Below are 17,508 nucleotides of genomic sequence, written 5' to 3' on the forward strand. Positions count from 1 at the left end.
AGCTGCCTGATGGGAATTGTCACTTTCTAATCCTTCAATGAAACAGTACTAGAGAGGATTTAGTTGGAGCCAGCTTCCAGCCAATCCTTCTTTCTGAAAATGTGATGATGTGAGGATAGACAAGCCAAAAGGAAGATATAATCCAAAAAATGTCTTCCTCACTTTATTACTGAAAGTTAACTTCTTTAAAAAATTTTTTAAAAAGTCCACTTGCCTTTTTGCTTCAAAGCAGTAAAATGATGTGTCAAAGCTATGTAGTTAAATTAACAGTCTTGGGCTGTAAGAACAAAGATCCTAACATGTCGTGTGTTCAGTTGTTAGAGTAACCCCAATTTATCGTAATCAAACAAGAGATATCTGAGAAAGAGAACCCATTCACAACTTTGCAGTTTAAAACCTTCTTTTCAATGTAACTGAACAGGATTTGTGAATTAGGGGGTGTTTGTACACGTGTGCTGAAATAAGCTCTTTGCAGTGAATGTCACAAAGGAAGTGAATTATAGGCTTTGTAATAAGACACCTTTTTCTTTAAGTAATAAGAGTATGGTGTTGCTTTCTACCAATGAAAATGTCATCCTCTGTGTATGGAACTTTTGCTGGTTGTTTAATTATTTGATATACCTTTGCTTCCATACATTCAGTATTTGCTCAATCACTTTCAAAGTACTATACTTTGTAAATAGATCCAAATGTTCTGAATGTGGATTTCTAAAAGTGTTGGTTAAGTTCCAAGAAATGGAAAATACAAATAACTGGCTCAAAAAATTGTTGTTCGTATTTCTCCTTTACATTCTGTGGGTTAAGCAAACTAAAAGCAAAGGAGTAGAAATATAAAATACTTTGATGAGATTTTAAAATCCTCCTAGACACACGAAGTGAATCAGCAACATAGGAATCTCTTCCCTGTGAAGGAATTGTTGTGTTTTTTTGTTTGTTTTTGTTTTTTATTTTTATCCCCATGTACTCATGGCTTTCATTCATTCACTCTTTCCTATAACAAATATTTATTGGGCACCAACCATGATAAATCTTCATTCCAGGCTCTGAGGATGTAGCAAAAAGAGAAGGTAGGCCTGGTCTCATTCTCATACACATAGAGCCTCGCGATGGGAATAGCATGATAACCAAGCAAATTAACAAGAATAAGACAAATAGCAAATGTTAAGGCCTCCTTGTGGAGATGACTTGAATAGCTGAGATCTGAATGATAAGATGGCATAAATTATATGAATATCTGTACAGAAATTCAAGGCAAAGGATGCAAGGGCCCTGAAGGAATAAGCTGGGTGTGTTGGAAGAACTGAAATAAAGGTATGCATTGCTGGAGTGCCAGTGTGAGCGAAGTGGGTAAAAGAGGGGTGAGAGGAGATCAGAGGAATGTGAGGCCAGATCACAGACTACTGCACAGGCTAGGGCAATAAGTTAGAATTTCCTCTGGCTGTGATGGAAAGCCATTAAAAGATACTAAGAAGGGGAGTATTATGAATTATGTTTTTAAAAACATCCTTCTGTCCATTATATATAGAATAGATTATAGACAAGCAGTAGTTGAAATAAGTTTCTTTATTTTAACTTTTATTTCAGATTCAGGAGTACATGTGCAAGTTTGTTAATACAGGTAAACTTGTCTCATTGGGGTTTGGTGTACAGACCATTTTATCACCCAGCTACTAAGCATAGTACTCAATAGTTACTTTTCCTGATCCTTTCTGTCTTCTCACCATCCTCCCTCAAGTAGACCTTAATGTCTGTTATTCTCCTCTCTGTGTCCATTGGTTCTGATTATTTAACTCCAACTTATAAGTGAGAATATGTGGTATTTGATTTTCTGTTCCTGCGTTAGTTTGCTAAGGATAATGGCCTTTAGCTCCACCCATGTTCTTGCAAAGAACACGATCTCATTCTTTTATATAGCTATATAGTATTTCATGGTGTATATGTACCACATTTTCTTTATCCAGTCTTTTGTTGATGGACATGTAGGTTGATTCCTTGTCTTTGCTATTGTGAAGAGTGCGGCAATGAACATACGTGTGCATGTGTCTTTATCGTAGAATGAATAATTTATATATCCAAATAGGAAGAAAGGAAATAAAGGTACCCCTATTTGCAGACAAAATTATTCTCTATCTAGAAAACCCCACAGTCTCTGCCCAAAAGCTCCTTGAGCTGATAAACAACTTCAGCAAAGTCTCAGCATACAAAATCAATATATTTCACAAAAAATCAGTAGCATTCCTATACACTGGCAACATCCAAGCCAAGAGCCACATTAAAAACACAATCCCATTCACAATTACCACAAAAAGAATAAAATACCTAGGAATACAGCTGACTGGGGAAATGAGGGAGGTTTGTAGTCACTTTGTTATTGCTGTGGGCTGGATTATGTGACACAACATTGAATGGGAGAGGGGTTTGTGTATAATACAATTCTGATAAATTCCTTATGTTTTTTATGTTTATCTTTCACATGTGCTATAAACATTGCCTTGCCTATGATTCCAGAAATGTTCATTTTCCATCTACTTTCCAGTCCCCCAAATCCATATACCCTACCTCCTTCATGAAATCTTCCTTGATTAATTTTAATTTCCATAAATTTATCTTCAACAATAAATTATAATTTATAATATATTATCTATAATAATAATTTGGAGTCTGGGAAACATGGTGAAATCATGTCTATACAAAAAATACAAAAATTAGCTGGGCCTGGTGGTGCACACCTGTAGTGCCAGCTATTCTGGAGGCTGAGATGGGAAGATTGATTGAGCCTGGGAGGTCGAGGCTGCATTGAGTCAAGATCACACCACTGCACTCTGACCTGGGTGACAAAGCGAGACCCTGTCTCAAAAAGAAAAAAAAATTGGGTATAATATAACTTATTTTAATAACTGAAGCCAAAGTTTATCACTTACAAATAATAAAGACTCAAGAAAAGGCAATAAATTGTTCAGCTGTTTAGTGGCAGAACCAGGATTTGAAGCATGAGTTTTCTCACAAATAAAGCTCTTGTTTTTTTCACCCTGGCTACCTATCCTTTTAGTTGAGAATGTATTCCTTTTTGTCAATTATCGGGACCTTAACAGACATAAAGCGTCACAAAGAAGAACGTTCCTGTATATGATTATGGGTGTAAAAAGGAGTATCAATAGGTAAAAGTTATTGCTTTTAACCAGTTCCAATATCTTCATTCTTAGAAAATGAACAATAGAATGTAGCTAGGAAATGTCTGAACCTTGTCTCAAGGGACTAGGAAAGAAGGAAATATAGAATGATGATTGATAACATGTAGTTGTATTCCTGTTCATATGTACATTGGATACTACATGCTTAATAACATGTAGCTATGTTAGCACCTTTTAAAACATTAAAAATCTACAGATTGTGGCTTTACATCTAGTTTCAGAATATAGCATGGTGTCATAAAGCTGCCTTGGTCATTGTTATCTACTTAGTTTAGAGTAAATGACAGCCACAGAGTTATACAATTCAGCAAAGCAGAATGGATCAGACGACAAACTGACCCTATTTTCAAATTTCTCCCTTTTATCACCACACTTCTCCATGGCAACATAAGATAAAATGAGCATAAGAAAAAAATATAACACATAAGTTATCTATGAAGACTGATTTTGACACATTTCCTAAGTAAGAATTCTTGAAAAACTACTGTGGGTTTCCCTTGTTACAGTATAGCAGGAACCTTAGGCCAAGGGAGATTATGGTACCTTATTTTCTTGTTGACTGAATTCTGATTGTAATCTTAGCCCATTGAAGTAAATAAAGAATGCTTCTGAATCAATAAGTTGACATTGATTTTCTTAGGAAAGCCTAGAAGGAAGTTTATCAGTCAGTCCATTTATAAAATTAAATTGACTATGAAGGGGTTAACCTTGATTTTGTATTAGCACGTAATGATGATGGAAGAATTAATTTAAATAATGCTTGATTTCAAAATAGATCTCGTATTTTAACAGACAATTTGAAGATATAGCCACTTCGTATAGCTAAAAGTAAAATTAAAATACTACTTTGCCTACATAACAAAAGCAGGTCTATGCTATTGTTAACTTCTAAAAGGATAAAAAAGAATGGAAGAAAAATTATACCCTATTTCAAATTGCAGAATGTGATCAACATTTTCTTAACATTCCTCTTTTATTAACTTCCCACTTTTACTACCAGAAAGTTATTTAACTTAGATTCAGTTGAATAACTCAGAGTCAGTTTTCAGAGACGCTTACCTGATATATGGAAAACTTTATGAATATTATGAAACATGTTATGCAAAATTCAAAAGCTGTGTTTTTTCACAAGTATAAAGCTGAATTCAATACTTGGAAAAATGAGTTGGTCATTCAATTAAAATCAACAGGTCTTTGTTATATATGATTACCCATGATCTGTCCTGACTGATTCAGTTAAATTTAATATAATAATTTAATGTTGCAGTGTAGGCATTTTGCATCACATAACTGTTTATGTTTGTTGAATATACATTTTGTTTTACAATTGTTCAGCTACTCTGAGATTTTAGAAGAGAAATGAAATAAATGCTGTATCCTTTAAAACAATAATTATAAAGAAATGAATTTCAAAAGAAAAACTTGCCTTCATTTCCACATGAACAAAGGCACATTCAGTTAGTCACCTGATTGTTTGGCTACATAACATCAAATATCAAGATGTTAAGGAACATTGACATTTTAGGCAATAGCAATGTAATGAACTTTTTATTTTACTTTTTACTTAGATTTTGGGCATCATTTAGAAATAGTTTTGGATTAAAATTTACTTAAGTTTTTAAAACAACATTATTTAGAGTGGAAAGCACAACTCTGTCTTCTTATTTGAGGACAGAAATGATTCTCAATGGGGGTTGATTTTGTCCCCCAGGATATATTTTTTAATATCTGGACACATTTTTGTTTGACACAACTGGGGGAGGGGCACTAGCAGGATCTAGTTGGTAGAGGCCAGGGATGCTGCTAAATATCCTTCACTGCACAGGACAATACTCTACAGAAATAATTATTCTGTCCCAAACATCAATAGTGCCGAGTTTGGAAAACCCTGAAGTAGAGAGGTATTAAAGAACCATAATGGTACAAAGTGCATTAAAAATGATATACTAAGAATGTAAGCATTATGAAGTCAGGGACAGATTCTACTTGGCTAATCTGTGTGTATTGCACATGACAGAAACTCAGTAAATATTCACTGAATGAATGCAAACAGGCAAAATACAGTTGTTCACTGCAGACTTGCTCAGTATTTGCAAGTAAAAGAAGACGGGTAGATACTCTTTTCAATACAAAAACAAGTTAATAACCATTGCTGTAGGGCAACATATCCTATTTTATGTATGAGAAGCATTTTTAGGATTATGTTTATGCCATACTTCAGAATGCATGTAAATGAAGGATACAAATATGTTTCAACTCCTTTTTGTATATGGGACATATTAAGATGGATTTGGTAATACTTACATGTAGCCATTTTATTATACTATAAAATTACTTCTCATTCTTATAGAACAATAAAACTTGTGAAAAGGGCCTTTTTACAATTTTTAGCCACAAATGATAGAATTTTTATATGCCCCAGGCAGTAATATTGCTTATAAATTTATACCATACGCCACTTTAACTTAAACTTTTTTTTTTTTTTATTAAGGGGACTGATCGGAGTCAAACCATATGCTGTGGCTTTTGCTCCATGGAAATCTCAACTATACTGCAAGAATAATTATTCCTACTTAATGAAGTTACAGAAGAGAATGTGGTGCTGGACGGTAAGATGTATATAACCTAATGAATACCCTCTGTAAACTCTCTAAAGACTTGTGCTAGGAGTTTTTCAGTTTTGTGGGGGTTTTTTCTTATTAAGAGACTAAATAGCTGTTGAAATCTCTAAAAGAATAAATGGATGCTAAAAATTCAAAAACTTTCCTACTCAGGGGATTCCATCATAAGTGTATAATAAAGAGTTTTGGTCCTTTGGGAAATCAGTGCCTTTATTACGGGAGGGGGGAATTTAAAATTATATATGGCTCAAAAAAACACATCATGTATAGTTTTTCTCTATTTGGAAACTAAAGCATACATTAAAGCCTCATCATTTTCTTTTGATTAGACCATTGCCTTAGCCTGCTAAGTGTCTTTCTGCTCACATTCTTTTTTAAATTTAGCCATTCTTCAGAGCTTTCTCTGTTTTTTGTTTTGCTTTGTTTTGTTTTGTTTTGTTTTTAAAAGCACAGATCTGGAAATGTCTGTCCTCAGCCTCAAAAATACTCAACCTCCATAGCAGGGTAGGTAAATTATTTTGAAATCTACTCTCTACCATTCTGACCAACTATATCCTCACTACTAATGGACTATCCACATACGTCTTTCCCCTTCTCTAAAAATGCCATCATCTTTTATGCGTTTGCATCTTTACTTTTTCATATCTAGCTGAGTCAAGGTATCTTTCTAATTCTAAATCTTTAAAAGTTTTCCATAATCTTTCTTTGACTTCACTTCCCTATGTTTCTAAAAGAATTTCTCTGTACCTGTATTGAAGGGTTTACCACATTGTACTTGAAGTTATGAGTTTGATTATTATTTTCTCATTGACTGTCACATCTGTGAAAGAAGGGACATATTATTAAGCATTATATTCCCACTGCCAATGCCTGGCACATAGTCGGTGTTTTAAAAATTAAAAGGTGAACTAGTGTACACTTCATGATGGCTAAAATTCAAAAGACTAATTAAATTAAGTAAGTTGAGTCAAGGCTGTGGAAGATCTCAAACTCCCATACACTGCTGGAAATAGTGGGAAAATAGTAAAACCACTTTGGAAAATACTTGGGGCAATTTTTTAAATAGCTACACGTACAGATATATGATCTGCCTATTACACTACTAGGTAGCTACCCACATGAAAGTAAGCATATGTGCATATAAAAACTTGTACATTAATGTTCTTAGATGCTCTATTTTAATAACCAAAAACTGAAAACAACTCAAATTTCCATCGACAGGTGCATGGAGAAACAAACTGTGGTATACCCATACAACGTAATACTATTTACGGCAATACAAAAGAATGAACTTTTGAGAAATGCAATGAAATGAATGAATTTCAAAATAATTATGCTGAGTAAAAGAGGTCAGAAAACACAAGTATAGGGTATATAGACCAATTTTATAAAACATCAAAACAATGAAAACTCTTCTATGGTGACAGAAAGCAGAATAGTGGTTGCTGGGGTTTGCGTGAGGCAAATACTGGAAGGCTGAGGATGGAAGGATTAAAAAGAGGCATGAGAAAACTACTGAGGGTGATGGATATATTCACAATCTTGGTTGTGGTTAGGCTTTTATGGGTGTAAATATATATCAAAACCTATCAAATTGTGTAAATATGTGCATTTTTCTATGTCATTTACACTTCAATAAAGCTTTTGTTAAAAAAGTTAGAAAGTGAAATGATAAAACTATATTTTGCAAGTAATTTTACAAAATAGATGCTACTGGTTTTCTTAGGGTACAACTGGGTAGGTATATATATTTATCAACATAATTTGGTAATGCATACCTTTTTCAAGAACTGACAGCATTGTTGATTTGGGATACTATAAAGTCAGACACTATTCTTTACCATTTAAAATATTTATATTCTTCTCTGTTAATCAAATATGTGATTATTTATTATCTGTATTTACTGTGGTAGAATGGGAAGAAAAAGTGAACTGACCTTATACCAAGGTCAGTATGTGGCCCCTGAGCGGGTAGTTTAAGCTTGCTAGGCATCGGTGCTTCATTTTGTAAAGTAAGGCAGTTAATATACAGTGAATACGGTTCAACAAGTAAAGTTTGTAAAAATTGAGACAGAATTTTGACAAAAATACTTAGGAAAGGTGTTAGAGTTGGTAGATAGTATTCATGGCCTCTGGAGCAGTTTAAAATCTAGAAGGTATATGAGGCCATGCCTAAGTAATTTTAAAGAAGATATGGGTTCAAACTGGATATGTCGTAAGCCAGGAAGGAGGCAAATGCTCTGAGAAGACAGTGAGATCCCTTCTGAATGGAGTCTGCAGAAAGCTTGTGAATAACACTTCACTGGAGTCAGCTCTAAAAGAATGAGTAAAATCCCAAGAAAATGGAATTGTGATATTGTGACAACACAAAGTCTTAAATATTATTTAACCAAACAGAGATGGAAAGAAAGATAATCTAAACAGAGATAACTTGGCAGCAGTGTACACAGTAGACTTGACAAGAGGGAATTACTAATGTTGGCTGGAGCAGGCTATTCTTTATATATATATATATATATATTTATTATACTTTAAGTTCTAGGGTACGTGTGTACAACGTGCAGGTTAGTTACATATGTATACATGTGCCATGTTGGTGTGCTGCACCCATTAACTCGTCATTTACATTAGTTATATCTCCTAATGCTATCCCTCCCCCCTCCCCCCACCCCACAACAGGCCCTGGCGTATGATGTTCCCCTTCCTGTGTCCAAGTATTCTCATTGTTCAATTCCCACCTATGAGTGAGAACATGTGGTGTTTGGTTTTTTGTCCTTGCGATAGTTTGCTGAGAATGATGGTTTCCAGCTTCATCCATGTCCCTACAAAGGACAAAAACTCATCATTTTTATGACTGCATTGTATTCCATGGTGTGTATGTGCCACATTTTCTTAATCCAGTCTATCATTGTTGGACATTTGGGTTGGTTCCAAGTCTTTGCTATTGTAAATAGTGCCGCAATAAACATACATGTGCATGTGTCTTTATAGCAGCATGATTTATATTCCTTTGGGTATATACCCAGTAATGGGATGGCTGGGTCGAATGGTATTTCCAGTTCTAGATCCCTGAGGAATCGCCACACCGACTTCCACAATGGTTGAACTAGTTTACAGTCCCACCAACAGTGTAAAAGTGTTCCTATTTCTCCACATCCTCACCAGCACCTGTTGTTTCCTGACATTTTAATGATCGCCATTCTAACTGGTGTGAGATGATATCTCATTGTGGTTTTGATTTTCATTTTTCTGATGGCCAGTGATGATGAGCATTTTTTCATGTGTCTGTTGGCTGCATAAATGTCTTCTTTTGAGAAGTGTCTGTTCATATCCTTCGCCCACTTTTTCAAATGGGATCTAATTAAACTAAAGAGCTTCTGCACAGCAAAAGAAACTACCATCAGAGTGAACAGGCAACCTACAGAATGGGAGAAAATTTTTGCAATCTACTCATCTGACAAAGGGCTAATATCCAGAATCTACAAAGAACTGAAACAAATTTACAAGAAAAAAGCAAACAACCCCATCTAAAAGTGGAGCAGGCTATTCTTAAAAGCAAGTAGGAATGTGAAGTGAGCTTGGAAAAGGTTTGGTGCAAATCGCTGAGGACCTTGAATGCACGGTTAAGAAATCCAGAAGTTTGGACTCATGCTTCAGAAAGTGTGTTCATGAGAACTTTCATTTAAGCGAAACTACCGTGTAAACATGAAAAATTCTTTTTGGAAATTAAATTTACTTTACCCTGTCTGGAGAGCATTGATGCTCAAAACCAAGACAGTGCACACAATTGAAGCATCTGGTTTACAGGGAAAGTGAGTAAGCTCAATTTTAAACATTGAGTTTGAGGTATTAGTGGAACAATTAGATAGCAAGGGCCCATGGGCAATTGATGTTAAAATTTTAGACTTAGCCTAGAGAAGTTATTATGAGTGCAGCTTATTCATAAGCTTTTCAATAAGTAACTTTTACTTATTGAGGATTCACAATACGCAAGGCATTTCTTTTTAAAATGTTACAATTTTATATACCTATTAGTTCGTGTCACCATCTATTAATGAGTCACTTTTCAGTCCCTTTCCTGATTTTACCTTATATCTCTGACTAGTAAATGTAAGAATGCTTCAAAGTGCAGTGATTGACCCTCTTTTCTTTTTCTCTTTCTCTAACTATGCTCATTCCCTAAGTAATTTCACATCCAGTCCTATGACTTGAAGCACAATTGTTATGTTGTTAAAGACACCTACATAAATGTACTTGGCTAGACTCTCCTGGGACTTAGCATATCTAATAGATATCTTAAACTTAAGATGTTCAAAGACAAAGTTTTTATTTCAGTTTCTCCACCCACAAGCCTTTTGGCAGTCTTTCCGCATCTTAGAAAATGGTAACTCCATTTTTCCAGTTATTGAGGTGGCAAAAAAAAAAAAAAGGGTTGCTCTATACTTATTTTCCTCACTCATGCTTTACATTCAATCGATAAGGAAATCCAGTAACTCTACCTTCAAGATATATCCAGAATTCATTTATCATATTCACTACTATATCCTGATATAAACCAGCATCCTGTCCCATCTAGATTAATACAATTTTTTTCCCTAAATGGTCTCTCTGTTTCACTTTTGCCCGCTTTCAATTTATGATCCACACAACAGGCAGAGTTATTTATTTAAAACATATGATAGATTATAGCACTCCTCTGCTAACAACCCTCAGAATAAAAAAGTCGAAGTCCTTAGCAAAAAGCCTGGTTACTCCTCTGGTATCCTCTAACTTCTGTACCCCTTTTAATTACCAGGATGTACTTCTTGCTATTCCTGGAACTCTGAGAAGGCTTCACCATTATGGTCCTATTACTTGGTCTTTCTTCTGCCTGGAATGTTCTTCCGTCTTACATTTCCAAGGTTCACCCTTTTTCTAGCTCCAGGTCTCTGCTTAAAGGCACCTAATCAAAAAGGCTTTGCTTAACTATCTTATTCAAATAACAAGCCTCTTCACAGCATTACTGGATCATAGTGGGTGCTCCAAAATATTTGAATGAATAGTCAATATTTCAAGGAATAGTCTCCATCTTGGAAATGAGTACCTTGTGGCTTAAATTGTAGGAGCTAAAGCGTTAGGAACTAAAGAAGATTTTCAAGTTAATATTGGGATTTATATCCCCATAAGATAACTAAGGTTTTGAAGTAAAAAAGAATTGGATTAAAGTTTCTGCTCTAGAATTTAAAAATATAAAAACAGAACATTTATTTAAGGCACAAGTGGGAGATAAGTGATGAGAACACATTGACACATAGAAGGCAACAACACACGCTGAGGCCTTTCAGAGGTTGGAAGGTGGGAGGAAGGAGAGGATCAGGAAAAATAACTAATGGATACTAGGCTTCATACCTGGGTGATGAAATAATCTATACAACAAACCCTCAACACAAGTTTACCTGTGTAACAAACCTCCACTTGTACCCCTGCACTCAAAAGAAAAAAATTTAAAAAAGAAAATCTTATTTAAAAAGAAATATTTGAAACTGTGGTAGGAGATGGGATTATATTGTGGCTAGATCTTATAGATGGATTAAGATAGACATTATAGTTAAGGTCATAGATTCCTTTGAAAATCTAATATAACTCCCCCCAAACACATGTGATCATGTACCACAGTCTTGCACCGTATTACATGTAATTTACAGACTCTACATTATGCTCTAGATGAAAAGGACAAAAAATGCAGACAGAGGTGAACTTGAAGATTTTTTGTGCAGACTCATCTTTTGGGCAGTTTGCATGTAAATGTAAAGGGAAGGCCAGTGAGTCTTCCAGATCTACAGGCGTGGATGCCACCGTTTGTGCATAAATAATTCAAATATTGTGGTCTCATCGAGTTGAGATAGAAGGAATAGACGAGATCATCTAACATCTTCATTTTTCACATGACAAAGTGGTGTCCCAGAGGCTTGCCCATGTTTCCTCAACTGGCTAGTGGCAGAGCAGGGACTAGATTCCAGGTGTCATAACTCAAGGTCCATGCTCCTTTGACATACCCTGATGCCTCCTTGGAAAAAGTAGTTGTCCTTCTGTGCTTCTGAGCTGTGTTCAGACGCTTCAGCGTAAAAGATATTGGTGTTTTTCTCCATTGAAACATAGTTGAATAAAGATGATGAACCGTGCTTTGCACTGGAATTATTCTTTTTTATTGCCCAAACATGCCAAAAAGTCATTTAGTAACTAATTTGTGGATTTGAGAAATTTACTGGTTAGTTATAACTGATGAAAAAAAATTTTTGTGGTTAAGTGAGTGCTTAAAATCTAGACAAGGCTTAAAGTACTAGTGCAAGAATTTCATTCCATTATGCAAGTAATTTTAACCTACAATTTGGTTTTCATTGTGGAGACAGCTGAAATAGTGCAAGATTGTGACATTGTGGTCAATTGCAAAATTACAAGGAATGTTATGCATTCCAGATCTTCATAGACACAGTACAAAATGCTGGTGTATTTTCATTCACTTGGAGAAGCTTAAATAATATTTTAAATCTCCAAATCCGATAGTAATACTAAGGGGAGTTTAAATTGAATGTCTAGCCCCTTTATTTCTCTATTTGTCTATCAATTTATCTATTCATCCATTGACTTAAAAAAATAGCATTGCTAATAAAGTGGAAATCCTCATGCATTATGTATGGACTCTGCCTGAGTGACTGACAGGACTACCCAGAGTGTCAATGTATTCTCCGCTCCAGCTTATCAGTTAACTAGTGAAATTTAACACGGATGGTGTCGGCTTTTTATTTAGAGTGTTACTGTATAAACAGAAGAGGCCACTGGGAGAATCTTGTTTTGGAGTTTTCACCTCATTTAAATTCTTAATTGTTCCCCTCAGTTTAGAAAAGGCTATTGCAGTGTGGTCCTGCTTCCAATTAATGAGCTTCAGAAAAGGATTAGGTTTGCCTCACTCAGTCTTTCCAAAATAGGCTAACCTTGAATCACACAAATTCCAAGAAAAGGTAAATATTCTTTTCTGATTCAAATTAACTTAGACAGGGAAGACAACCTTAGGTTGTTTATTTTATTATAAGCCAAGCTAAGAGTCCCGAAAGTTAAAGTTAATGAAAGAGATAGGCATTTTGTTGAAAGATAAGAAAAAAAAGAGAAATATTAGTTTAGTACACTTGTTAATTTTTTTCACTTATCTAATATTTTCCATTTCTATTCTTTCAATAAAATAGCAGCAGTAATAAATAGCTTGTATCATTGTGAAGAAGTTTAAAATATTTGCATGATTTTGTTTTTTGGAACTAAATTCTGAAGAGCTGGTTAAAAAACAAATAAAATATTAAATACCTTAAGCATATTGTGGGATTATAAAGGGAATATAGCGTGTCCATGTCTGTAGGTTCACTTTAAGTTTGTGCATTTGCCTGTAATAACTTTTTGGGGGTCTCATAGAAATCAAGACATCTAGAAGTGTCACAGTCTAGCTTCTTTTTGCATGAAGGTAGTCAGCCATTGCCCCTTCAAATCCATCCCACACTCATACCCAGGAATAAAGATTACATGTTGAGGGATCTATGATGGCGTTTTTTAAAAATCTTAATTCATTTTTGGTAGTTTCTTTTATGTGTTCTACCTGAGTAATTTAGAGTGTTAATTCCTGAATTCTTTGAACTTAAAAATGTGCCAGTCATGCCCACAACCACATATACATGATACCCCCTTCTAAAGGTGAATTGAACTCCTAATTTATTTCCATAAAAAATAAATGTAATAAATATACTGGATGCTTATGTATTAAAGGTAAGCTATTTTCAGTAGCAAAGACAGCAATAAGAAATTAATCAATTTAGGTCAAATTACTTTTGTAGTTAAAAACATTAGTTTTAAATAAGTTACTCAGCCAAGGGTCAAAGCAATCAGCACAGTTGTAAATGAAAATATGTTTGAATTAAAACAATTAGGCTTGATTTTCTTGTCTTACATCTCACAGCAGGTATTTGAGCACAGCCAAAATTTGGATGTGCTGACACCTGTAATCAACACAATAGGTATCTTTTAAACTAACAAATCATCTTTCCCAGTGGAAGTATAAACAAAACTCTAATTGGAGGCTTTGCTAACTATTCTTCCCTGCTGTGAACACTAGTTAGTGTTTTGTGTAAAGCAGTAACATTAGCTACAATTTATAATTGGCAAAGGATAAGAGCTAATTCTCCAGATTCAGTCAGTTAGTAGGTATACTTAAATTGAGCATACCTCATTCAATGATTTCTTACTTAACAGTTAGTATCAAGCATCTTGAAACTATGTTTTAATTGCAAGGAGACAAATAATAACTAACACATACAATGCTGATGAAGTGCCAAACTACATCCTAAGCACTTTTAAACATATTAGCTTATTTAGACTTCACAAAGTACCTTTGAGATAGACACTATTATTCCCAATTGACAGATGAAAAAATTGAGACTACATAATAGTTTGTTCTAAGCATCACAACTACTAAATAGTGGAAGTGAGTTTTGTTTTTTTTTAAATAATGAATCATAAATTTTATTTCAAAATGTAAACATCACTAAACATGCATACACATTAAAACAATAAAATTTACAATTTCATTAATTTTTCTTTTTGCATAGGACATCATTACAATATAGAATCTATGCCATACAAAATACATACAAAGTTTTATCTGAGCAAGCCAAGGCCAGACTGGGAACTGTACAACTGTAATACGTCACTGTAGTGATCCAGGAAAGATGAAACATGGCCTTCGGGAAGTGAGTTTTGAAACCAAGCAGTATAAGCCCAGAGTCTGTGCCTTGCCATCTCCATTAAAAATAAAGATTTAAATAAATAAATGTAGCTAGTATCTCATTTTAGACAACTAAATTTAACACATGTGCTGACAAGATCCTTCATGCCTGCTTCCTAGTTTTTACATCTTACTTATGGATTCTGAGGTCTACAGTTTGCAAGAAAAGGCATAACCTCGATTAAAATAACTGATTGGAGAAAATAAATCTCAGTGCACAATGAATGAACACAAATAAGAAGTAAAAGTGATGTTAATTCGGTAATAAATATGTGCTTTTTCATCGTAGAACGTATTTTGTCTTAACTATGCAGGAATGTAACTTTCTCCCCACCTATTGCTCAATGTGGTTATCAGCAGGCTTTAAAGGTAGATTTTCCTGTTCCCTAAAGTAGGTACTGCTAAGACCCAACACTAGAATTATGTATAATTCATCGAAAATGATGAAAATGTAATAAAAGTAAAATAAGGATTAAAAATGAGAATGGTGCCAGGTGGAATTCAGAACATAAAACATGTGCCACAAAATCCTGCACACGTTAGAAACAAGCCCTGATTTTAGCTCTCAGCTTCCTAGAAGCCAAAGTAGAGACCATCAACTACTCGATTTAGTCCAAATTGAAAATTAAATTCTTGCACATGAGCAGTTCAGTTATGCCTGGAATTGGAGGGATTTTTTTTATGACTCCTAGTAAAAAGGACACATTATGATGTAATAAAAAAAATCCTCAACCCACTCCTTAAAATAAACATGGCGATAGTTTTATATAATTATTTTGTGTCATTCACCTTTTAAGCAATAAACATAAATATTTTAGTAAATGTAATACAACAAAGATAAAAAAGGCTACAAGAGAAAATCTTGGAATAGAGATATAAATACAAACATATACACCCATATAGGCGTATGAACAGAACAAACTGAGATGCAGATATGGCAAGATTACACCAAAGCTCCAATTTAGTACACATCAATTTCACTGTCTTTATATTTTACTGTCTTTGTATGTATGGAGCTATATACTTCTGAACAACAAAATGGATGGATAATTAAACAAAAACATTAGTGCCATGATTTCCTTAATATATGCCCCTTTCCCTGACATGTAATTTGTTTCCAATTTTTACAGGAACTAATCTTATAACTGAAAGATATTTTTGTGCACATCTTTATGTTTCTATGTGTTTTAGCATAATTTGCTTTGAATGGATTACCATAATTGAAATTGAGGTTAAAGGGGTTAAGCATTTTAACTTTTTAATAAAAATAGTATACTTTTAAATATCGCAAAGTGCCTACTGGATACAAAAATGTTATAATCAACCTGAAGATCCTCAGCATATTCTGACTTTTATATACTTAGCTATGAATATGCTTGTTATGCAAATGTTTGATGTTTGTAATCTTTCCACATAGGAATAAATAGGCTATATTAATACTGTCACTAGGAAAACCATTCAGAACAGATACCTTACCAATGCCAGTCCAACATAGTTAATTCTCTATCTAAAGTAAACTGTATTTTCCTTTAACACACACTGAAAGAACACTTATGGCACACCCTATTTTACCCAGTAAAGATTAAATGTGTAGCTTTATTTTATGTTTTTGACTGTGTTAATAAATATTTAGAGAGAAGCAATACTAAACTGCAAAATTTCAGAAGCTTTTTTTTTTTGAGATGAAGTCTCACTCTTGTCCTCTAGGTTGGAGTGCAATGGCGTGATCTCGGCTCACTGCAACCTCTGCCTCCTGGGTTCAAACGATTCTCCTGCCTCAGCCTCCTGAGTAGCTGTGATTACAGGTGCCTGCCACCACGTCCAGCTAATTTTTGTTTTTTTCAGTAGAGACGGGGTTTCACCATTTTGACCAGGCTGGTCTCGAACTCCTGGCCTCAGGTGATGTGCCCACCTCGGCCTCCCAAAGTGCTGGGATTACAGGTGTCAGCCACCGTGCCCTGCCCAGAAGCTTAACATAATACAGATTTATGTTTCACTCACCTAGAAATTCCATGTAGGTATTTCTGGTTGGAGTTGAGAAGGACTTCTGTTCCATGCAGTCGTTCATGGAGTCATTGATAGAGGCACTTTCATCTATGACAGTGGCTTTCGAAGTCACCCTGGGTGTCAAAAAACAACTGGTAAGCTGATGAGAGAGACTGTGGGAAGACACAGTCTGTTTTGTCTTCTCCACAAAATGACAAATTACTTTTACCGTCGTTCAATTAGCAAGAATTAGTCTTACGGCCTCATTTAAGCCCTATTTGCACATCCTTGGGGAAACTGCTTAACCTTTATAAATTTCAGTTTTCCTATTGGTAAAATGGGGATAACAAAGTAATGAGCTCACATGGTAATTTTGAAGATTAAATACTGTATATAAAACAGTTAGTATTTGACTTATACTAAGGATTTAATCAACAATCTCTCATCATGATCATTTTTAATATTAGAAAAGACATTCAACTAGACATATATTAGAAAACTATTTTAATTACATGTAATTACATTTAATAATTTTTAAAATAATCCCTATAAACAGGAAAAAACATACCTACCAAAAAAAATAAGTCTAGTTTCTGACCTCTCTATAGTACAAAGTATCAGAAAAAAAATGAAGATTAAAAAAATATTATGGCCAACAATGTGATCACTAGACTAATGTATAAGACAATAAGAATACATATTTACATGTATAGATACATGGAAAATATAGTACTTATGCTTCATTTAGAAAAACAAAAAGATACATTCTAAAAAGCTGAACTCAAGAACGAAGAAGACGTTGGCTAAAAGGGATGGTGATGACTTCTAACTTTCTGAGTTAAGTTAAAAAATTATTATAAATATCAGTAAAAATAATTTAAGATGTTAAGAATAATTATTGAAAGGT

At 34.4% G+C, this 17,508-nt stretch overlaps 1 long non-coding RNA gene across 2 annotated transcripts in view; it reads left to right on the forward strand.

Moving 5' to 3' along the window:
* LINC02820 (long intergenic non-protein coding RNA 2820) overlaps positions 1 to 17,508 on the forward strand; it is a 172,109-nt gene that overhangs the window by 75,792 nt on the left and 78,809 nt on the right. For both annotated transcript variants that reach the window (NR_183553.1, NR_183554.1), the window contains one exon: positions 5,683 to 5,800. This is a non-coding gene — a long non-coding RNA (long intergenic non-protein coding RNA 2820). The remainder of the gene's footprint in view (positions 1 to 5,682; positions 5,801 to 17,508) is intronic.

The sequence above is a fragment of the Homo sapiens genome, chromosome 12 (assembly GCF_000001405.40).
Source record: "Homo sapiens chromosome 12, GRCh38.p14 Primary Assembly".
In the NCBI taxonomy this organism is placed as follows: domain Eukaryota; kingdom Metazoa; phylum Chordata; class Mammalia; order Primates; family Hominidae; genus Homo; species Homo sapiens.